This window comes from Homo sapiens, chromosome 1 (genome assembly GCF_000001405.40).
Source record: "Homo sapiens chromosome 1, GRCh38.p14 Primary Assembly".
NCBI lineage: Eukaryota > Metazoa > Chordata > Mammalia > Primates > Hominidae > Homo > Homo sapiens.
Window position 1 is genome coordinate 208,226,929 of NC_000001.11, and position 23,992 is coordinate 208,250,920.

The 23,992-nt window shown below is 49.7% G+C and overlaps 1 protein-coding gene across 3 annotated transcripts in view, besides 3 other annotated features; it reads right to left on the bottom strand.

Moving 5' to 3' along the window:
• PLXNA2 (plexin A2) overlaps positions 1-17,456 on the bottom strand; it is a 222,143-nt gene extending 204,687 nt beyond the window's left edge. For all 3 annotated transcript variants that reach the window (NM_025179.4, XM_005273164.4, XM_005273165.5), the window contains exon 1: positions 16,715-17,456. The gene's annotated coding sequence lies outside the window, so the exon portion shown is untranslated. The remainder of the gene's footprint in view (positions 1-16,714) is intronic.
• Positions 15,994-16,495: an enhancer, noted in NCBI's record as "H3K27ac hESC enhancer chr1:208416267-208416768 (GRCh37/hg19 assembly coordinates)". NCBI's record gives its function as "activates a minimal SCP1, AML or CMV promoter by ChIP-STARR-seq in naive H9 embryonic stem cells {active_cell/tissue: H9 hESC(naive)}" and the evidence as "EXISTENCE:reporter gene assay evidence [ECO:0000049][PMID:30033119]".
• Positions 16,496-16,995: an enhancer, noted in NCBI's record as "H3K27ac hESC enhancer chr1:208416769-208417268 (GRCh37/hg19 assembly coordinates)". NCBI's record gives its function as "activates a minimal SCP1, AML or CMV promoter by ChIP-STARR-seq in naive H9 embryonic stem cells {active_cell/tissue: H9 hESC(naive)}" and the evidence as "EXISTENCE:reporter gene assay evidence [ECO:0000049][PMID:30033119]".
• Positions 17,514-17,573: a silencer, noted in NCBI's record as "silent region_1777". NCBI's record gives its function as "represses an Ori minimal core promoter by ATAC-STARR-seq in GM12878 lymphoblastoid cells {active_cell/tissue: GM12878}" and the evidence as "EXISTENCE:reporter gene assay evidence [ECO:0000049][PMID:35858748]".

Here is a 23,992-nt window from a genome sequence, read left to right on the forward strand (position 1 = left end):
GAGAAGCAGGCTGTGGGAGCACTCCAGCCTTCTGTGCAAACGGAGTCCGAGAAAGGTCATCCCACCTCTTCCCTGATTCTAACAGGACCCTATTTAAACCATCTTATCAATTGAGTTGCTGTTCTGGTAGACATTATGGGATTAAAGGACAAAAAAAGGAATTCTCAGGCTCCTTCCAAAGGCAGGAAAAGGAAATAAAAGTAGGCATATGGCTTTGCCAAGCCAAGTCAAGATTCATGTTAGGAGACCTCATACTCTAATGACCATGAGTAGCAAATTACTAGCAACTCTCACTTATTTTCTGGAAAAAAAACTATGAAGAGTAGCTACTATTATTATTATTTATTAACCACCTGCTACATGACACGCTATGCTACATGCCCTGTATATGCTATCCATAGTTGTGTGATTAGCTTGCAAGGTGAGCATGACTATCCCCATTTCACAGATGAAGAAATGGAATCTCAGGAAGCCTAACGTGACGAGCATCAGCTAAGAAGCCAAGATTCTCGAGGCCCATGCTTTCCCTACTATTCTACACTGCCTAGATTTTTAAGACTTATTTTTCAGCCAAACCTTCTTATCACTGGTCTGGGAGAACTCACCAGAATGTTTAGTAAGACTTGGCAAGTACTTTATGTTAAAGGTCAAAACTTGAGGCTCCACAGTTCCATTTATGTCTACCCTGAGCTGATCCTTTATTTTGGTAACCAGGCAGTGCTGGGGTAGGGCACACAGGAGTCCTGGTTATCAAGCACCAGGTGGAATCCAGGGGTGTTTTGTGGCAGGAGCTTTGCTAGCTTGGCAGCCGCCTTTCAGAGCAATTCCAAATGATATTTTCAAAGAGCCTGGAAATGTCTCTCATCCAGTCTTCACTGTACAAGGGAGAGCCAGGGACTCTTCGAGGTTGAGATGGGGCAGGAGAGCAAGCTTAAAAAGTACTCAACTAAAAGGTTAAATAAATTACAGTTACTCCATATAATGGCATATTGTGCTGCCATTAAACATAATGTTTTCAAAAATAATGACACTGCTCTAATTTATACTACTGGGAGAAAAAAGGAGGAACAATGAGGGAGTAAGAAAAAGCCAAAACAAAGCAGTAGGCATTCATCTCAACTCTCGGTCCATGAACTGACCCTAAAATCCCACTTACTCTCCTTTGAAGCTGTCCACATCTTTTTCTTCTTGAAGAAAAATGTTAATGGCTCCCAGGAGACCCAGGTGAGAGAACTTCCTGCTTTCTTTTGCAGACCTTCCTTGTTACCTCCAGTGACCTCACATGGCTGGCCACTGAAGTGCTCTAGGGACAAGGATCACTCCCAATCCCTGATGCTTCATCTCTATCTCAGGGAGAGTGGCCATTAGTGCCAGATGATGTGCACTTTTTAGCACTGCTCATTTCCAGAAGCTAGGGTTCCCAAAAGTTCAAAGGGCGGGGCTCTTCACCAGGAATCCTCGTGCTGCCTCCCTGAAAATAATGCTTGTAAGACAGTGACATTGTCACCATCCAGGCCTTCCTCTGAGATGGACCCTGGTGAAACCCATTGGCAGCCAAGATCCAGCCACAGATCTGCAAGTTGTGCCTTGTGCTGCCTCATTCCTTGTGTCTCAGACCCATTGTCTGACTTTGCCAGGCACATGGCTGAAGTGTGAAATTCACCTATGGAAACACCTTCTGTGTTTCTATCTGGGCTGTTGCCCAGATAGACTCAGCACTGCTAAGCACCCAAGTTCAAGTCCTTTCCCAGCTGGCTCTTCTGTCTTTCTCTAACCTCACTGCCCACCTCTCCCAGAGTGACTCCTCTCCCAACAAACTGGTTGGTCTGTTGAGTCCCCAAAACGCCCTGCCCTGGAATGCTTGTTTCCACTCCCTTCTTTGCCTATCCATACCCAGCCCATCCTTCAAAGCCTCATAAACCCTCTAGGGCCTCTCCATCTCCAATCTCCTTTCTCTCCTCCAAAGTCAATTAAAAACTGCTGGTTTTAATGGTTTCCTCTCATGGCCCTCGGGTGATTTAGGACCACTTGTGTTGCTCTTGCTGGTTTGTCCAGGCACCTGTGGCAGCACAGAAGGGCGTAGAGGAGGAAAGGGGAAAACCGGTCCTGAGGAGGAGGAGAAGATGCTGAGATACCAGCTCCTTAGGCTCAGCCCCGCATTCTCTGGGCCCTTCCCATACAGGTCTGCCTCAGTACACAGGCTAAATTTCCTCTTCCTTCCTTGTCTTTCCCTGCCTCTCTTTCTCTCTAAAAACTGCTAGTTTTTAATTGACTTTGGAGGAGAGAAAGGAGATTGGAGGTGGAGAGGCTAGAATCACACACTGATTCTAGCACACACTACATTGCAGCATTGAGCTGTCTTTTTTATGTGACTATTTCCTATCTCCCCACTGAATTAGAGGCTCTTTGAAGGCAGGAACAATATCTCGTGCTTCTTGGTATCCGTGCAGGGCTAGCATGATAACTTTCACTCAGTATTGTGTTCAGCCTGAATTGTCAAGAGCAGCGCGAGGGGGTGCCCAGGTGTGCTCATTTGCTTTTTCTCAGTGGACACTGTCCCTACTAGTTGGCCTCAAGAAATGATTTGAACTAATACACTTGGCTCAGGGATCTGTCATGACTGATCTTCAGGAGGTAGTGAAGAAGGAGGTAAATGATTTAGGAAGGATCCTGGCTATTATTTGCCTTGAACCCACTGGGTGAGGCTAGATGGGTGAGGTGGGAAGAAAGATGGAGAAGAATGGGAAGATACCAGCTCTGTCTTTGAAGAATGTATAATCTAGACTTGTGCAGGAAAAGTCTTTGCAAGACAGCTCCAGAGCCGTTAACCATATAATATCATGGATCACATAAAAAGCACATAATAATAAAAAATGACAAATTCACAATATAAAGTGATGAACAGAGTGGGGTGAGGGAAGTCCCCTTGGAAGGTTCCAGAACAGGGTCTTCAACAAGGAGGTCAAACTCGCAGCGCTGGATGGCGCAGAGAAAAGACCTTGGCCTTTGGAGACGGACCTGGGCTCAAGTCTCATTCTATCACTTACGAGTCTGGTGACCTTGAACATGTTATTTAACCTTTTGGAGCCTCGCTTTCCTCAGCTGTAAAATGACACCTCACAGGGTTGTGGTGAGAATCAATGAGATAATGGATGTGAAATTGTTTTGTAAACTCTAGAGCTCTAAGTAAACACCAGTTATTCTTGTTTCTGCTTTTGGAGAAACACTGTACAAGGACATCATCTCCTTGGCTGCCTTGTATGATGGTGACAAACTCCGAGGGTTCTGTTTTAGCTCGAGAGATTGGTGATCATTGTGCAGCAGAACCTGGTGACCCAGCACCTGCCTCCCCAGACCCAGTCCTCTCGGAAGAAACAAACAGGGTGCTGCTAGTCCCACCTTCTCCCCGTGCTGACCTGAGGTCTTGAGTTGTCATTCCCACCATTTCTATCAGTGGTCCCATGATTTCAGGCCACCCTCCTCTCATGGCCCTTGGGTGATTTAGGACCACTTGTGTTGCTCTTGCTGGGTTGTCCAGGCACCTGTGGCAGCACAGAAGGGTGTGGAGGAGGAAAGAGGAAAACCGGTCCTGAGGAGGAGGAGAAGATGCTGAGATACCAGCTCCTTAGGCTGGGGCCTCGCATTCTCTGGGCCCTTCCCATACAGGTCTGCCTCAGTACACAGGCTGAAGTTCCTCTCCCTTCCTTGTCTTTCCCTGCCTTTCTTTCTCTCTAGTGCTTTTCTGAACCAACAGCCAGCCTTCCAATAAAAAAGCTTTAACTCCTTTTCAGGAGGAAGCTTCTTAAGCAGGCTATGTCCCCACCCTGTATCTTCCTACCTGCAGTTTCTATTATTTTTCTCTCTTTGTCTGAGACTCCCAGCTCTTGCAGTAGAGATCCTTAGCTGTCAGACAGCCTCTCCTAAGTAACAGGCACGCTCACAATTACACACACCAAGCAAGGGGAGTGCCATGGAGCTGGATTAAAGGGGCATGCAGAAACTGAGGGGTGGCTGGAACTCTGGGCAGAGGTCTGACCACTTAAAGGTCTTTTCTGTGCCAAGATGTAGAGACACTCGGCCTGAAGGACCCTTAAGCACCTGGAGTGGCATCAGTCCCTTGGTGAAGGAGCACAGTTAGTAGACATTTGAGACCCTTGAGGCGCTATCAGCCCAGCCCCGGACCTCTTGGATCCCTCAGCCCACTGTGAGGGAGAGTGACGGGCGCAGTTTTCTGAGAGGTTGAGACAGGGGGAAGAATGTGCTGATGGGGAGCAGGGTGGGAATGGCAGGCCGGGGAGGGAGGACCTAGGGCAGGAGATGAAAAGTGCTCCCTGAGTGAGAATCTGGCCCTGGATGATGAATGGGGTGTGAGAGAGAAGCCGGGAAAAGGGTAAACAGCCAGGAGGGACCCAGGAGGGAAGCGGGAGGGAGGGGTGAGGAGAAAGAATGTGGAGGTCAAGGAGCAAAGAAAATGCTCCTGGAGTGATTGACTCAAGATCCAACATGTTCCGCACCGGATGAAGGCACATGTGCACACAGATGTGCCTGGTCACCCGCCCTCCCCTCCACACGCCTGCGAAGGTGTGAGCACGTCTGTCTGCTCTCCTCCCAGATGCATTCCATGCCCTTCGGAAAAACCTTTCTTCTGATGTTTGGTTCTGAGTGTGCAAGGGACCCCACTGTAATACGAACAAGTATTTGTGCAATGATTTTATAGTTTCCTAAAAATTTCACATGCATCATCCCGCTAACGTACCCCTTACTCAAGCTGGTGAGGTTGAGAGCAGCATACGCATCACCAGTTTACAGGTGAGAGGACTTAGGTATATTTGAGGTTGAATATTTTGGCAAAGGCACCAGATGTGAAAGTGGGACTTGGACTTGGGGGGTCCTGGAGTTAAACATGTCACTTGGCTTCTCTGCTGCCTGACGTTGCAGATGCCACCAACTGATATATCTTGGAAGAGATCACTTACTCAAGAGGATACTCTCTGCCTGCACATAAGCAATACTCTGACCATAGTTGGGGATATCCTGTTACTACTCTTTGCAAATGGATATGGGGTCTAAGGAGCTGTGACTCAGAGTTGAATTCTTGGGCCCTGTGAATGTTTAGAGGAAAAGGCCTGGGGCTGGGAGCTGCTGGCCATCCACTGAATGCCATTTGGCTCTTGCCCAGTTCTGGCGGGTGGGAAGGAGGGCTGGGGAGGGGCTGAGGCCTGGACATGGCCCCAGGGGCTTGCACAGGTGGTGGCAGATGGAAAGGATCCAAAAGCACAAATCTGTAAGGAGAGACCACTGTGCCAGTCTCCCTCTCCCCAGCCGGCCCTTTATTGTGGGAAAGAATGCAGCTGCCAGCAACCCCTCTGAAGACCAAGCACCTCTGCAGTCCCTGCAGCCAGCCCAAGAGTGCAGAAGGCTCCTATCTGCCTTGACTCCTCTCCTTACCCATCTCCTCCCAGCTCTCAGCCCTGGCCCTGCTGCTCTTCAATTCCCGACAGTGGCAGATCACTGATTAATTCAGGCCTGTTTAATAACCCTTCTATTTCGATGAAACAAGCTGTCTTGTTTTCTTTATTTTTAACACTGACTTTCGTTTCTTTGCTAAGCATCTTACTGTCATTTAAATTTCTCTGTCTCCAACCAAGCTGATAATAGACTGGAGTGAGCAGCTGCTTCCGTCCCGTTTATGACAATGATTAGAAGAAGTTAGAGCTGTGCAAGCAGAGAATTGACCAAATCTCAGTTCAGAGGGGTCTGCTCCTGCTTGTAGAGGGAGTGTTAATTTTAACATGATTAGGAGAATTCTGGCTCCAGAGGAGACCAGGGCTAATCCCAGCCTAGCCTTCCTCGCACCCTGCTCGGTGGAGACTGCCATGGGCCTGAAGGTGTGAGAACCAACTTTACTTACTTTGGAATTCAATTGTATGGACCTGACACTCCACTTCATAACACAGCCTTTTCCTCCACTGAATTTGGATTTACTTAGCAGCAAAGAGGGAACTCAAGCTTAGAAGATTTAGGGTGGGTGGAGACCTCAGCTATCAGCTACGATACCTTTCTGCTCTATGCAGGAATCTCTTCTTGAGACCTGGCCATCTTCTAGCCTCTGCTTGAATTCCCTAAATGTTGTAGAGCCCATTCCCTCCCTAAGTAGCCTTTTCCAGGCTGGGATAGCTCTGGCTAATCTCTCTCCTTCTGTCTTTTTGCAATACTTATTTGTGACTTGTAGGACGATGATTTGCGTGCATACCCTCTCTTGCCAGGTTGAAACCTCCTCAAGAGCCTGGACAATGACTTGTCTCCCCTCTATCATACTCGGTATATGGATATTCTATAAACACTCGTTCAGTCAAATGAAATTATGCTGCACCAACTTTAAAATTTCTTGCAAGGAACGTATCTTTTTTTCTTCTCCCAGGTGAAGCTTTCTATTTTTCTCTATGCAGACAAATGTTGCCTCTTCCCATCCCCAGGCCAGACATGGCTGCTTCCCCAGGGCCCTGCTTTTTCTTCCTGGCCCCCAGGGACTGCACAGTTGGTGGAAAATTTGGCCAAGGAAGCTGGGGGCCCGCAGTGGAAGTCAATCGGGTGGCCTAGACCAGGTTCTCTGGATCCCAGCCCTCTTCATTTCCTCCAGGTCAGCCACAGCTGCCTGAGAATGCTCCCAGGTGCATGGTGTGCAAATCCAAGCTGGGGCGACCCTCCCTGCCTCTCATTCCCTCGCAGCCTTGTGAGACTGGAGCTCTCTGCGCCTCCCAGCCAGCACAGTTTGCAGGCAGCTGCTTGGGTCATTGTCTCAGCCTCTTCAAGCTGTGAATGCTGAGTCTATAGAGACTGAAACACAAACAGTGCCCACAGTGCCTCTCGGGGAGGGAGGGGCAGCTTGGCCTTGCCAGAGCCATTGACTGTGCAAATATCAAGGCTTGCTGTGGATGGAGGAAAGCTGGTTGGAGCTATTTAAAAGGGGGGGTCTTTTGACACCACACTGCGCAGCACCATGGAAGGGCTGTGGTGTGTGCTAAGGGCCGGCAGATGGGAAGAGAAGAGGAGAGGTCAGTTCTCACAGGGAATACTGCTTCATCGTGAGATGCCTGTCTGCTCTAAACCAAGGAAGAGAGAGATGGGGGAGGTCACTGGGCACAGTGCAGGGGACAAGAGACCGAAAAGAAAAGGTAGCTAAGTGGGCAGATCAAGAGAGTGTGGTGAGTGAGGCTGGGGCAAACAAATATCCTAGCAATTGGAGGGCAGTGAATGGCAGCTTGCTGTGTGACTCAGGGCAATACACTTACCCAGTTTGGACTTGGGTTTCACATCCACTGTGTGGGCCCGGGTAAAAGGTACTATTAAACACTCAAAAACATTTCCCAAGTATTCTACACCAAACACCTATTTATTCTGCAGTTCAAACTCTTTCTTAAAAAATAATATTTAGAAAGGAAAATCAAGGGCTCTTGCTGACCCCATTTTCTGCAGCAGGCTCTTGGACAGTGCTATGGGATGTTTAGGACTCTCCTCTCACAGGCCCCATCCCGCACTCTGCATTTCCAACAGGGACAAAGCTCCTTGTGTTGCTTGGGGAGCTTCTTGGCCTACTAGAAGACAGCTAATGCTTCTCCCCAGACATCCTGCTAGGTTTTGACCGATGATCAGTGCTACCAAGGATCTGATCCCTGAGCCCCAGCGTCCAGCTTGGGCTCCTGGACTCCACTCCTGCTAACACACTCTGTGATGTGTCTGCTCCATCCATGTCCCTGCCCCCAGGAGCTCTCGTGAGATGCCTGTCTGCTCAAAACCAAGGAAGAGAGAGATGGGGGAGGTCACTGGGCACAGTGCAGGGGACAAGAGACTGGAAAGAAAAGGTAGCTAAGTGGGCAGATCAAGAGAGTGTGGCGGGTGACGCTGGGGCAAACAAACCTCCTAGCAATTGGAGGGCAGTGAATGGCAGCTTGCTGTGTGACTCACGGCAATGCACTTACCCAATTTGGACTTGGGTTTCACATCCACTATGTGGGCCTGGGTAAAAGCTACTCTGTGCAGGAGAGATGCAAGCCCTGTTGCAGCCAGGCAGCCAGATACCCATGAGCTCTGCGTTTTCTTATTCCATGAAGGGTTGACTCCCACAGCAATGCCAACCTACCAATCCTACGACAGTGTCATTCATGTACACTCTCAGAGCTCTGAAGGCACCAAAAACCCAAGGGCGGCAAAGGCAGAATTCAAATTCCAATCCCACTGGCTAAATGCTGACCACAAGCCCTGAATGTGGTCTCCTTGCAGGGCCACTATTGGCTTTCTTCTCTATGTCCCATCTCCACCAAGTCTTCAGCCCTTTATTCTTTAGCATAGAGATTTTCTTTAAATAAAATCTTACTTTTCTCAGAAAATTCCAAACAAATTTGGAGAGAGAGGGGGAAAATAACCCTAGTTTCGCTTCTTATACCTGTCCCAAAATTTAGAATAGTTTTCCTTGTTTCCAGCACTTGTCGTTTTTCCAACTTTCCTAACACCCTCTTCCCGGGCCTGGCTCCAGAAACAAAGACAAGTGAAGGTGCTTGAGTATTCATTCCATTATACAGATGGAGAAACCGAGGTGCTGGGTAAGGGGCAGGAGCCAATTCTGCCAGAGCGTAACTAACCTCTTATCTCCCTCCTGGGACCAGGGAACAAACGGAGGGTGAGCACCGGTCAACAGGTGAGAAATCTTTAGGAAGTGGGAAGGGCTACAAGTGTGAAGGCAGGCACTTAGTTCCTGTTTGATTCTTTGACACCAGGCTCTTCCTGACCATCTGCTCTCAACCATCTCAGTGGGGCCTAAACCTCCTGCAGGATTGTGCTGGGAGGGGCTTCCAGCTCCCCATGCAGTTCAGATCTTTCTCTCTAAGTCTGTGGGCCAAGAAAGCTGAAGAACTTGAAGAACTTGACCCCCTGTGGGTCACTCAGAGTGGGGCGGTAGACTCAAATTTTGTTCATTTACAGATAAACCTCAGGGGGTGGGGTGTTTGCCTTACAGAAAACCTCGTAGCCTGGGTTTTAATGTCACAGAGAGTGAAGGGACTTGTTAGAAAGTTTTAAGCAGCTGGAGTCAGGGTGGGGCATCAGTGTTGTCAGGGCACTGTGAAATCCCAGCCGGCCCTGCTCCTGGAAAACACCACTGCCCTAAAACGTGGAGTGGAGACCTGGAACGAGAGCTTTGCTGACTCACGAGGGGCCTCCTGCCTGTGGACGGGGAAGGAGCCTGGGTCTTCCTGTCTGGCTTGGGCTGGGCTCCCGCTAAGAACGCTGTTCTCAGTGAAATTCAAAAAATTGGCTCTTCTCCTTCAGGTATTTTTGTTCCTCAGGAGAAAAAAATGGGAAACCGGGGAGCAGTCAGGGGAGGTGGGAGGTCAGAGGCCAACGTAATATTTACCCAGCCTAGCCGAGGCCTTTCACTTTTATGAAGCAGGAAACCACTTCAAAGCAGCAACATCCCCTCTTGCCACTTCTGTCTGCCCGCTGGTCCTGCTGCCTCTATAAGGCAAGGCAGGGCTTTTCTACACACCCCTTCCTCTGCTCCTGAACCTTCCACCCTCTCTCCCTTAAAGGGTGGAGCACACTGCCTGGCCGGCTGCTCCCTCTAACCCCTGCTCAAAGGTAAAAAGACCTGCCCATAGTCACAGAGCAATCACAATCCATAGGCTCCGCTGACATTCTGAGCTGTCCCTGGCGTGTTCTCGTTCACTCAGTGAGTTGTCTACCACTCTCAGAAGCACTGGGGTTACAGCTCCTCATCCAAAGCCCTGTTCCACCACCAGAGCAGAAGCGGAAATGACGGCTAGGAAAGGCTCTAGAGACTGGAATCTAGTGGTTCTTTACATTGTGGAGGGGGCAAGAACTCCTTCTCTTCGGAAATACAAGACTACACATACCCACATCATTCTTGAAGATATAGAATCTCCAAGGTTTCACAGGCCTCTTGAAGCCCAAGTATGGCCCTAGCTCTGTGCTTCCCAGTGCAGGGGTCAGTTCCCTGACAGCATCACTGATGTGGCTCCCCCAGCCTCAGACGAGGTGCAGGGAGAGCATGACCTTCCTTTATAGGATTAGAGACAGCCTTTGAGTTGAAATCTTCGTCCTTCTAACCTTTCTCCATTAGCATCCCTTACCCTCTTTATGGACAGAAAGCTTAAAGCAGAATGGCTACCTTCTCTTTGAGTTGAAATCTTCATCCTCCTAACCTTTCTCTATTAGTATCCCTCTACCCTCTTTATGGACAGAAAGCTTTAAAGAGATTGGCTCCTTCTCCAGGTAGCAAGCACATGGCAGAGGCAGCCCGAGGAGTGGACAGCCAAGGTGTAGGGATAAAATCCAAATCTTCCCTCTCAGGTCCTTCCATTTAATAACTTCATTCAGATAAGAGTAGATGCATAATAGCAGGATTCTGGACACTTAAATGTGAATGTGGATGAGTAATAATATTTCCTGAGGCACCACACTGGCCTCTACACGCCAGCTCCAGAAGTACCAGAAAGGGATGCAATTTACATAGAATACAACACGAAAATCCTTGGGAGTGTGCACCCTGGAGTCCTTGCCGTAGGATATTGACTAATAGAAAACAACTCCAGCGCTGTCCAGTTTAAAATCCTCAGAGAAGAACGAGGGGAAAACTGGGTAGGTACGGGTAGCTGTGAGAGGCTGGAGACTGCGAGAGCATTAAATAGTCATCCTTCTTCACAGGAAACTGTGAAGTTCTCCAGCACCTCTGAGTCTCTCCTGGAAATCTTCACCTCCCATGACTTAAAGCAAAGGCTTTGAGGAGCTGTCTGCTCTCACTTCCTCTGACCCCCTAGTACACACTGTTAATGCCATTCTGCCTTTTACTAAAGGTATTTGGGGGTACTTGGCTATGCAATTTCTTCCTCCACTCCCTGAGTGTACTGTAAATGCCCTGAAGGTAAGATCTATTACTTTTTCATCCTTGTATTAGGAGGGAGCTACCACATTCTTGGCACCACACAGGTGATCGATCCCTATTTATTTAAACTTAAATGAATTCCAATTCCCGCTTTCAGTGTCATCCTATTTGGTTCAGTGCAAAGGGTAAGAATCTCTCCTTCTTCTATCCCTCTATACTATGGTTGAGAGGGAGGCTGTTTAGACAGAACAAGAGAAAGCCTGGGAGAACAACTCCTCCAAGAGGGCTGGGAGGTGCTAGGGTTCCTCTGTCAGAAGCTTCCGTCCTCTCAAAGCGTCGGAGAGAATATGTGTGTTTTGCGGGGATCAGAGGAGACAGGCTCATTCACCAGCTCTTCACTCGGAGCCCTGGGATCCCTCCTCCTCTTCCCTCTGAAAGACAAGTTGAACTTTCCAAGGGCAACTCTACTACCTTTTATCTTTCACCCTCAAAGTAATTTTAGCCAAAGAAAAGCAGAATTAAACTTTCATAACACGATACATTTATCTTGTTTTTCTTCTTTCTTTTCTCTATCCTCCCTTCCCCCTGCCCTGACGTCCAGGTACATCTGAGCTAAAGCAAACCAAGATGAACTATCAAGGGATGCTATCAGATTGGAAGAGACGGGGCTAAGCTCTCTGGTCTCCTGCCCATCCCAATACTTCAATATTTTTCCATGCCCCTGTTAGGCAGTTATTATCTCCTTAGATAAGAAAAGCCTCTGGACTCTGCTGTCTCTCAATATTGTCCTCTGCTGAAATGAAAGGGGGAATTATAATTCAGAGAAAGATTCCCACAGAGAATATGAAGAAAAAGATTAAATCAGCGATACAATGTTGACATGCATTCAGTTCCTGAAAGCTCTTTTAAAAAAAAGTCTCCTCAGGAGCAGTTTTGCTACTACCTGAGAGTCTCAAAAATCTGTATTTAGGGAGTTGGGAGATGGGAAGCATGTGAAGGCCCCTCGGGGTTGGGTCAGAAACTTCTGTTGCTGATAAGAACGGCAAGGGCCTTTTGGCGGGCCAGCCAGCAGATTGGACTCCCTGTTAAGTTGAGAATGCACTCCCTCCCTGCCACCCAGCCCTAGACGTGACCTGTTGGGGCAGGCCTCTCCGGAGTTGCTCACAACCCATGCATCCCAGCTTAATGCTGCAGGCGCCTTCTCATCCTCTGCAAACAGACAGAGGCCCAAAGGTCCCACTGGCAATAGGACCCTACCAGTTGTAGTCTCTGGGAAGTGACGGCTGGGAGTTTCGAATATATCTCATCTATTAATATTTTTTTTCTTCTAAAAAAAAAAAAAAGCACAAAAGCCACTGTTTTGGGCCAAGCCTGGCTTTCAAGAGTCCCCTCTAGTGGAGATAACCTGCTACTTCGGCTTCTCAGTTCAGCCCAGAGCCTCCCTGGCCAGTGAAGATTCAGAAAACCCCCTTCTGCCTGCAAGGCTCTCTTTCCCACTTTTCTCTTTGTGTTCACTCTGAGCTCTGTCCACCCCCATTCACACTGTTAATCTCTCTGTCTTTATCTTCCCTTGCTGTCTTCCTCCCTCTCTCCATTTATCTGTGCCTGTGCCCACATCTTGACTTCTGTCTTTCCATGTGTGCCTTTGCTCCTGCATCTTGATCTACATCTTCCATCCACCTGCTGGTTTTCTTTGATGTTCAGGATTCCAGGTCTGACTTGTTAGGAATGCCTTGGTCAGGCCTTGGACCACATGGACTCACTTCAAACGGCCAAAACAGCCACCCACAAGCCAGATCCACAGTGAGAAGCACTAGGAAAATCCTAGTGGTTATAGAGCTGTCTATAACCTGAGCTCAGAGCTCCTGCTCCGAATCCTGTGTGAAGCCGGCTGCTCCCTTCAATAGATTCTCCCCACCTCTGTGCCTGCTTCCCAGTCTCTGACACACGCCCTGCCCTGCAAACAACTGGCAATGCCTGGGTAAAGGGACAACTGGCAGTGCGTGGGAAGAGTATGCTGGGGTAGGGGAAGAAGGTGAGGAAGAGGTGAGTGGGGGTCAGTGGCTGAGCCTGGGGCTGTGGCAGGACAGTGGAGACACAGCAAATGTTAAGCTGGGGTGAAGGGGGGTATGGGGGAACACCTGCTGGTCCTCTGAGTTTCCCAGAGATATTCTTTCACCCAAGAGAGAGACAGAACCAGAGCAGGGAAGGCGGTTAATGGTTAACCAACTGTAGAAGCAGAGAACTTTTGCACTGCTCAGGCCTCAGCCATTTCTTTCAGCTCTGTGCCCTTCCTTCCTCCTCTCCCCTTACACTCTTACCCCGCAAGGACCCTGCTCCCCAACAAAGAACTTTCTCGCCTCTATTTATGCCCTCCAATTCCAGATGGAGCAGTGTGGAGCTAGATAAAGAGGTTCCATATGCCCAAATGCCAGGGAATGAGGCCCAGGAGAGCCTGAGGGCTAAGCCCAGGAGGACGGGGATATCCTCTTCTTACCAGCCATCCCTCCCTCGTGCCTTGAGACCAGCTGTTTGACCCTGGGAAGAACTGCCTTTCTCTCTGTCTCCATAGGGCTCACCTTTAGAAATGACCGAAAAAGAAGTGGATGCACACCCACCCCTCATTTACTCTAATCAGGCATGAAATCTTTGTAACGAAGTGAAAAAACTGTTCAGGGAACTGGTTCCATTCATCATTGTTTGAACTGAGCATATGTGAAGGGTAGAAATAGAATATTCACATATAATGAATTGATAACAGACTGCCCCTGGGTGGGGCGGTGGTGATTGGGGCTGAGGGGGGAACGCACACGAGCTGTAAAACTCCCAGCACCTCAAAGCCTGTTTCTACCAGTTTCCCTATGGACAGTCAGTCCTGAATTATTTCTAGTTAACAGACTGTAACACAATGCTCCAGTCTCTTTATGATCAGAATGGGGGTGGGGGGTGGGGGCTTGGCTAGGCGCTCCTTGCCTCTCCATTTGCCATGATGGACAGAAGTATATTGTGCCTCAGTTCGTGTGTGTGGAGACAGCTGTGTGGCAATGCAGGGAGACAGCTGGTGGTGGTGGGGAGGTGCTGCTGGAGACAGGAATTGCCTCCCCCACACCAAACCCTATATCTTAGGGAGGCAATCATAGAAAATGAGGTAGGATAGAAACTATAAAACCCCCAAACAGTGACAACTCCAGCACCATAAATATTTCATAGCACCTAAAGTGGTGAGTTTAGGCTGCTGTCAGCTGCTGCCTTGTATATTTAACCATGTCACTGGTTTCCCCTCCTGTTCCTATGTTTTCTTGTAACCTGCCCATGAAATAAAGATTAGCTGAGTAAGCAGAAGTATTGGTAAATGGGAAAGGGACCTAGGAAACAGGTAGCTGTTCTTTGAGGGCTTTCTTTTTAACCTCATTTTAAGTGCAGACTTCAGTAAAACAGATGGTGAAGGAACTTTTACATTCACCGCATCTGCAGCTTTTGATGGTCAAGAGAGTTGCAGGGTGAATGTTCCCTGGTGCTCTGAAGACAGGGATAGGTATTCAGACTAGCTCTGAAAGGGGGGCCACCAACCTTGTAATGACATGGTTTTGGGCGATGGACATAAGACACTGCCATACTCTTCATTTAGACTTGGGCTGAAAAGCTAGCCAGCCCCCCTGTCCTGCTCCAGGCTTTGAGGGACCCCTGTCCTTATGCCCTGCCAAAAAGAAGGACCAGCTGGGATTTCCTTGGCAGACTCATGGTCCCTGGATAGAGATCTCCTGGTACTTTACCACTGCTGCTCCTCAGCATCTTCCCTGCACATCGCTCCAAATGTCATTTCCATTTAACTGCTTTGCAAGCCAGTTTGCCCCCATCCTAATGCAATTTGCTGAGGACAGTGAGGGAGCAGAGAGGGTAATCTGCATTGCCCTCCCTTTATCAGCAGGTCCCTGAAGACGATCGGCTGCGGAGTGGAGGGAAATAGCTCCTTTAGGTAATGCTGGTTGGTGGCAGCAGGGGCAAGTTCTGGAATGAGGAGGGGTTGGTGGTGATGCCAGGTGGAAGAAGGGGAATGAAAAACAACCTCGCTATGACAGATTCCACTGTTTCCTTGGTTCCCTACCCTTTCTCTTCACTGCCCCTTCAGCCTCCAGGCCACCACCAAGGAGAGATCCCAGGTAATTAGTTCAAATGGTGCTCCGTGAAGAGAGAGGGAAGTTAATGAATTCTTCTCTTTTCTTGCCTGGAGGTCAGAGGGGAGAGGGCTGCAAGCAACTCTGGGAGCTTTCTGGGGTTATTGCATAAAAGTTGTGCATTTCAGTTAGGAATAGCTGAATTCCTCCAGCCAAGGTTATCTCTTCCTGGGGCTCTGTCAATCAGTAGAAGGCCCCAGAATCCAAAGCCAACCCAGAGGGAAGAGTGAAGTTTCAAGATCTGGGAAAGAAGCCCAGCAAAGGAGGGAGACTGCTATTGTGTGGGGAGAGGGGAGAGCTAAACCTGACTCCTGCTCTCAAAGCCTCCAGCCCAGGCCAGCCAAGATACTCATCTTGGCCTGCCGCTCATAAGCCTTGTCCACTGTGCGCGTGAATGGAAGGAAATGAATGTGCCCCCAAATTTCTGTGGGTTCTTCCAAACTGATGGGCCCCCAAGTGACTGCCTCAAGCTATGACTGGCAGTCCCAGTCCCCTCAAACTGATGCTGCCTTCATGTCCCTTGTGCACTTTCTACTGGTGTGCCACTGTCACTCTAAGATTCCTACAGGGGACCTGTTCAGATTTCCATTGCCCACTTCATGGGGCTCTCATTTCTAGACCCTTACTGACCTAGAGCCCCAAATCTTTTATCCAACTTCCTCCCCACCATTATTTCTATCCCTCCTGAGCAGAGCTGAGTTTGAGTAGGTAGCTCCCACTAGGGCAAGGGTCATTCCAAACAGGTGGACTTTTTTCGGGGATCTAAAATGGTAGTTTCTGGTGACTCTCTGGGCATCTAGACCATGATTGGCATTATAGAGACTACCTGTGGGATGGATAAAAAGGGCTAGAATTTTCTAGGATCCCTACCTCACTTGTGGGGTGGGGCAAGAAAGAGCACATGGAAGGAAACATTCTCAAATGGTTCATAAGGAGCCTCTGGGACCCTAAGCAAACTCCCATTTCAACCCCCAGCACTCCTGTGGTGCTCAAACTAAGGGGCTGGACCCCTGCTGGGCGATACACCGCAAAGGGAGCCCCGGGAGATGAAACACTTAGACCCATTCAGTGCCTAGGAATCTCTCCCTGAGCCTTATGGAACCCGCGCAAATGATGTTTTCCCATTCCCCTGATCTCCAGTCCCCGATCGGAAGGGAGAGCCGGCGGCCACCAGGGACCCCGGCACTGGAGTGAACGCCCCCAAATCGATCGCTGGCCAGTGTGGCTTTGGGCTGTCTCGCTGGTGCCACCGAGGCCCTCTTTGGGCTCCAGCTCTCAGGACAGCCTTGCCGCCCCGAGCTCCCCAAAGCCGCAGAGCGCCGGCAGGTGCGCGGTGGAGGCGCGCCGCGGAGCGCTGCTGCCGCCCTCAGCCCGCATTCGGGAAGCCGGCGGGCTGCCGGCCGGGAAGCCCTCGGCGGGAGGCAGCGGCTCCAGTGAGCCTGCGATCGCGCGCACGCCGCGCTCCAGCCCGCGAAAGTGGCCGAGCCCACGCGGGGACTCGCCCGCCGCGGCCAAGCCGGGTCTTCTGGGGCCGGGACCCCAAAGAGGCGGGCGCGGGAGAAGCCGCCACGGGTGTGCGCGCCTGTGGGGAGAGGGCGGAGGGCGCTGCCGACTCCGAGCGCCCGGCCCAGCCGCCGCTTACCCAGCTCGGCGACGTCGGTCTGTCCTTCCGTCCCCGCTCGGTCTACCTCGGCCGCCGCCGGCTGCTGAGGGCGGCGCGAGGCCCCTCTCCCTGCCCGCAGCTCGGAATCAGGGAGACGACCAAATCCACATGGAGTCCAAATTCATTAAAATCCACGTCAAGCCACCAGACACTTATCTGTATTCCTGAAGTCGCTCCTCGGTCTCCGCTCCGCGCGCCCCTCAGTCCTCCGTCGCCCCGCAGCAGCCCGGCTGGGCGCTGTCGCCGGCTCTCAGGGGGCACCCGGAGGCGCCGAGGGGGCGTGTGGGGGCGGCCGGCGGTGTCTCTCCTGAGGAAGAAGCAGAGCCCCGGCTGTCTTCAGATTTTTCCAGCGCGACTTTCCGGGCTCCTCTGACATCAGCAATCCCGGCGCTTCCTTCCCTTCTTGCTCTCCGGTTCGTTCACAGTCCCATTTCCTCCGGGAGCCTGGCTTTCCAGATCTATTTCGAGGTTTGCTCCGCTGGCTGCGGCGCTCGCACGCCCTACCGCTCCCAAGCTCTCGGGGTCTCTCTCCGGATCGCTCGCCCTCTCGGCTGAAAAATTCCCAGCAACTGCCCTCCGCCGCCCTCCCGCTCCAGTCTGGCGCGGATGCCGCTCCTCCCGGCAGCTCTGGCTCCCGCGGTGGCGGCGGCGGCGGCGGCGGCGGCGGCGGCGGAGGAGCCCTGAGCGCCGGCCTCCCTATTTCACCATGCAGCTCATTATCATAGAGGCCGCGCGCGTTAACCCCCTCCCCGCCGGCCGCGTCCGCCCGGGCTGGGGCCGCGCCCGCTGCTGGCACCGCCCGCCACCGCCAGCACCCTGCCCCCTCCCCCGCCCGCGCGGACTTCCTCCTCCGCAAGCTGTCAACAAAGGAGAAGCAGGTTTGGCATCCGGAGGCCGCTCGGCTGCCTGTCCTGCGCCCAGCTCAGCCCGGACCCATCGGCCACCTTAAGTAGCCAAGGGGGCAAGGAAAATGCTGCCAGGGCCCGGGAATTCGAGTCGGGCCTTGCGAGCCCAGCTGGCTTGGCCCCCGGGGGAATAGAAGGTCTAGCGTTGGGGTTAGGGGGGAGCTCAGAACACAGGAAGAGTGGGTGAGGGCAGTAGGGACAGGGAATCCCCCCCATTCGCATCACCTGTCACCGCACACATCCTGCACACCTCCCTCTTCATCTGTAATTTGAGTGAGGGGTGAGTGGGGAGGAACGGGGCTTGTCTGGTAGGGTTGAGACTAGAGTCTTGGAATTTGTGGGAGCAAATTTCCTCTTCTTGTAAATTAAAAAAAGAAAAAGGCCAACAAGCTGTCAAATAAGGCTTGAAGTTGTTGTTATTATTATTATTGCAATGAGAAGATGAACCTTGCTCTGAATTGAATCTCAAACTTCCAGCCCTGATAGGGATCCTGGGCATCTGGTAAGTCCCGACTTGCATGGGGGCATTGGGGACGGGAGAAGAGCTTTCTATATCCAATTCAGAGAATCTTTCTGGCAGGGTAATCAGAGGGGTGGCAATAAGATAACTTATTTTAATAACCTAAGGTGAGAGGTTTCGGGATTCTGGATGACAATGTCTCGGTGCCCTCAAGGCCACTGATTCCTCGCCACACAGTCTCAGTAACTCCGCAGCCTCTAGACACGGCTTTCCGGAAGCGGCCTGCAAGCTGGACCCCAGCGAGTTCGCAGGATCTGCGTAGTCCCTGCTCGCGATTAGAGCGCACACGAGTTTACTCCTGTCCAAGTATTCTGATAAGCTTCCTCTACTGCCCTCTCGTGGCCACAGTCCTCAGTGGTATAAATCTAAAAAACAACAAAAATCACTGCGAATACCTAAAAGCAATTGCACCAAATTCTTAGAGCAGTAGCGGCAGAAGAAACGAAGGGAGGGAAGGATGAAGAAAGGGAGCCGGAGAAAAGAGAGAGAGAGAGGAAGAAGAAAAGGAAATCTAGACTAACCAGTCATCTCGAACAATCGCACATTCAACACAGGACTGGGGGATCTAGGCTTTACTCCAACATCTGCAGAAATCAGCGAATTCTTCAAAAGTTCTTCATTGTAATTAGCTGAAATTTGTGTTCCTGTAACTTTCACTGGCTACTGCTAGTTTTGTCCTGTGGGACCACAAAGAATCTGTCTAAGCTGTGTTGCCTGATCCATACCTGTTCTTTCCTTCAAACTTCTTTAGCATTCATTGTTGGTAACACACCAATAAATTATCATATTTACCCTGTGTTATTATTTATTTATTTTTATAAGTAGATCTTGTCTCCCCATGCAGACAGACTAGTCGATCGTTTTATCTCTGGGTAGACTGAATCTAAACCACAATTTATTAAAAAAGATGATTTGAAGAAGATGCTAGAAGATTTTGGAACACTTCCTCCATTTGTTCATGGAGTTTGGCCAGCTACACCTAAGACCAGCCGTGGTAGGATTGGAGATATCTAATTGATAAAGCTCCAAGCTGAAAATTAGGGCCCTCTGGTTCTAAATCAAGTGGTGTCTGACTCTGGAAGAGGTCACCTCTCTTCCCTATGCCTCAATTTAATCACACCTTGGGAAGATTATGATACAATTGAAATAATTTTCTCATATGCCACCCTCCACTCCTGTGGTCCAGAAATAAATCTTAGAATGAAGAGCAAGGAAGCATAAAATGAAACAGACTCTTCCACTCACCCCATCTTTTATCCCCACACCTCCCCTCTCTTTCCTGAATAAAGGGAGAGAAAGAGGGAACACAGGCGGGAGGACACATTGTGGCTGACAGGGTGGCACGACGCCATCCAGATTCCACATTGCCACTGAACAGGGTCTAAGATCTGAGTCCTGTGAGACTATGGAAGAGCCTGTGGTCAGCATAGCAATGGAAAGAGCGCTAACTTGATCTACTGGGAGGTACAGTGGATGAAGTACCTCTAACTTCTCTAGGCCACAGTTTGTCCATCTGTAAGATGGGAATTTCTGTCTTCACTCTCCAGACAACTGGGGGAATTAAAATAGATATATGTAAGCGTGTTGGAAGAAGTAATAGTATCATCAAAATGGAAAGATTGTTGTTATATTTAGTCCTAATAGGCTAGAACAAATATGGATCTTATTAGCTAAACATCTAATTACCATAACATGCTCTGAGAATTTAAAAAAAAACCAAAACCTTGGGTTCATGGTTCGTATTTAGATTTGACATCCTCTGAGGCAACAGCGGTATACCTGAACCTCTAGTCTTTACATCTGCTCGTTAACCTTCTCCCTTTGATCTGGGTATTCATTCATTTATTACGCAAATATTTATGAAGAGCAAATTTACTAAATTTCTTCCTTTAATGGAACTATATACAGTCCATAATTACTGCTTTGGCACATATTTTTAAAGAAAGCATGGCAATAACCCTACAGATTCTATAACCTCAGATCTATCTCTTTCTGAGGTTTCTGGTTTTCTTGTATGTTTCTGCCCTTCACTATATTCTTCCTCATTCTGTCCATCTGATATCAGGCCCACAGCCCCTTGGGACTGACCAGTCCTCTGTCAGGGCCTTGTAGTTCGTCCTCATTTCCATCTGGAAGGATAGATGTAGTGCAACATATTTGTGAGCAGGCTGTCGATATTTAACAAATATTTATCAAATGAATGAACAAATGAATGAATGGGGAAATGTTTATCTTATGCCAAATCCTCATCATTGGAAAATCATAGCACACTCAACAGGGTTCTCCACTCACCCCAACCTACCTACCTTCCCTAGTCAAGATATTCCTGGAACCTCACCTTGAAAGTCATTTGTCACTTCTGCATTCTTGTTCCAGGCCCCAGGCCTCTTCTTTGCTTGTCAAAGAAGCAAGCTAAGTAACTAGATGGGTTACTTAAGCAAGAGAATGAGAGAAGTGGGAGAGGACAGGGCACCAACATTCTGGAATGCCACAGAATGTTTCCTGTGAAGAATGAATATTTCTCCTGTGGAAGGCAGGTTTGGCTAAGATGCTGCCACCTGCATTTTCCAGGCTGGGAGCAGGCCTTGGCCCTGGAAAGCAAGCTCTTAGACTTTGGGGAGCACAGGCCCAAATGGGCAACTAGCCCATCCCTAGGGGAAGTCCTTTATGTCACAGCAGCAGCTCCAGCCCCACAAATAGATGCCAGTACAGTAGCCCCTCGGATCACAGGAGGTATTTTTGGTGCTGGAAGCCAGCCACACTTTGGCAGGCTTTCAGCATCAAGTCTGTTCCCTTTAGAGGCGGGGGGTGGCAAGCTATCAGTGTTTAGCATGGGAATGCTGCCTGAGAGTGTGTGCATGCATATATTTACGGTGCCTTGAGTCGGCTGGGAGGTGGGCTCAGGAGGATGTGTGCCTGGACCTGTGCTTGGGAGCCAAGGGTGCTCCTGCTTGCCAGTGTCAGAGGGCAATGTTTGGATGGTGCACTGGCTGTTGCCCGGTTTGTACCTGGCTCCCAAAGCTGAGACCACTGATGCCACCACCAAGTTGATTGGTCTCTGCTCTAAGATGCATGTCATCTTTCACTTGCCCTGAGCCCAGGCTTGCCACTATAGACAGGCAGGAATGTGGTCCCTTCTGTCTCCCTACCAGGTACCTCACCTTCATCCAGCAGATGCTGTCAGGCAACCCCAGCAGCAGAGCAGCCTCCCCTTAACCCCTACATTGTTAGGAACAAAGGGATTGGTCCAGACAGGCCAGCCTGGAGTGTGTGGGCCAAGTCCTGTGAATGGAAGAGAGAGACTGCGGGATGCCAGAGTGGTGGGTCTCAGCCCAGGCAACGGGGCTGGCAGCCCAGGACACAGGAACAGGGCATCTGCTCCGGGGTTCTCAGTACCATTCATAAAGACGTCACCCTTCCCTCCCCTCCCCTCCCCTCTCCTCCCTTCACAAATCCCACTTTCCTGTGTACTTTAAACAGTAGCAAGCCTGTTAAGGCTCCAAATCAAACAAGGCAGGATTTCGCTCCTTTCTCACTAAACCTCCCACGAGCAGAGCTTATGTCCCTGTATACCTCGTCCTCTTTCCCTAACCCTCCCTCCCCTCCTCCATCCATCTAGTGTGTTGCTCTGGGAGAAGAATATTCTCTGTGAAGCCCAGGCAACTGCAGTCCCAAACCTACTTAAATAGGTCCCTGGAACAGTTTGCAAGGCTCTGGCATTTGCAAGGTCAGAAGGCTTCAGAGGAGGGGTGGGGTAGGGGAGTGTGGACAACTGGGCTCCAGGCATGGAAGGTGAAGGCTGAGGCTCAGGACTTATTTTTTTTTTTGCTCTATTCCTAGCACTAAGGGTCAGGAAAAGGGCCTTCCTCTCTTATTTTTTCTAAAAGAATCCCCCCAAAGGAGAAACTAATCATTTGGTCACATAATCCCTGGGTAAATCTCTTGGTGCCTCAGTTTCCTCCTTTATAAAGTGGAATAATGTCCCTTGCATTTCATGTCTTGCAAGATGCTGACTATGAAAGAGCTTCACAAGCCAGAAAGCATTATACAAATCCATGGGAATGTTCTCTTAAAACCTGAAAGTTCCATCCGGAGGCAAACCTATTTCCCAACTGTACAACTGCAGTTCTTCTCTTGGTTGGTTTTCTAGGAAAAACAGCTGGGCTCACCAGAAATATCCCTTTGCTTATGGGGTCATTGTTGTCCATCACCTCGGGGTCCCTCCTTCTCTCCTACTCTTCCACTCAAAAATGCTGCAGAGAAAAAGAGATTCTGTCCACAAACCTTCATCTATGGAATCACAAAGCACACCCAGGCTGGAGTTGGTCCTCATTACTAAGCAGCCCACGTACACACCCACACCCTCCCAGGGAGCAAGAGAAGAGAGGGGCGGCTGAGGTGCCTTGGAGAACACGCTGTGATTGCATAGAAATTAGCATGGTCCCATTCCCTGTGGGCTGAGATGTATTATGTGAATGTGCTTTTGGGGTCCACCCCTGCTCAGCAGCCCTCACTGGCCAGGAATCCCCTGCCTGTTCTGAGTCACTGACCTCCTGTCTTTGCTGCATAGCCTGGTTCAGAGGACAGTTGCTGCCAGAACTACAGTTGGGTTCTAAGGCTTTCTGAGGGCTCAATGTCTTCTGGGCGGGCCTGCCAGGGCTTTCTCGGGGTGGGGGGGGGGGGTAAGACTGGACAAAATCAGCGCCATTTATTTGCTTTGAGATCAGAAATTCACAGAACTGGTAGGAAGTAATCATTTTGTCCCATCGTCTTCATTGAGACAAAACAATACTTTTTCTTCAGTTGCCCATAATTATCAAAATATAATGGTATAAGTTAAAATATATTGAATTCCTACTCTGTGCTAATCCTAATCCTCACAACTCTAATCTTACAAGGTAATTAAGTAATTATTATCACCCACTCCCTCTTTTTTTTGAGTCAGTGTCTTGCTTTGTTGCCCAGGCTGGAGTGCAGTGGTGCGATCATAGCTCACTGCAGCCTCAAACTCTTGGGCTCAACCAAGCCTCTTGCTTCGGTCTCCAAAAGCTCTGGGATTACAGGTGTGAGCCACCATGCCTGGTTTATCATCCCATTTTACAGATGCTGAAACCGATGATCAAGAAGTCACATGATGGTCCTAAGGTCACACAGGTAGTGTGTGGTATGGCCAGAATGTAAATGCAGGCTGATCTGGCACCCATTTTCTCGAATTTTGCCCTTTTCTGATGAGGAGAAAGTGATGAAAGTGTGGGGGCCCATCAATGTGGGAGTTTGAAAGCCAGTAAGTGGGAAGCAACAGGCCTCAGCCTGCTTCTTAGCATTTCCCCGGCCAAAGACCTGGAGCCCCTGCCACAGGAGAATGCCCCCAGACTCATCACGAATCAGGCAAAGCATCGCAGAGCTTTAGTTCTGCCGAGGGTCAGGAGCATCGTTTTCTCTTACAAAGGAGAGCATGTTGTTGTAATTGTTTTCATGATTTTTTTAAACGATCATACTAATGAGCTCAATTCTCCTCTATTTTATAGTGGGTGTGTGTTTAATAATGGGAATTGGCCTGTAGGAAAGAAGTTGCCAATACATGCAAATCTCTGCTAGCTTCTGTCACCTCTGCCCTGTACAACACCACATATGTGGCCACGCCTGCCTTTCAGAATAATGGGATAATTGGGTGCAACCCGTGTCACCCCCACCCCTTAAAGAGAACATGCCAGTCGGTCTTTGTGGAAATCCACGGGGAGCTGGGTGAGCAAAACGCCAGTGTCTGACTTCGCCTTGATTGCATCTGTGCCCTACAAACCCCAACAGAATTGAACTCACAGCTCCTCCTAA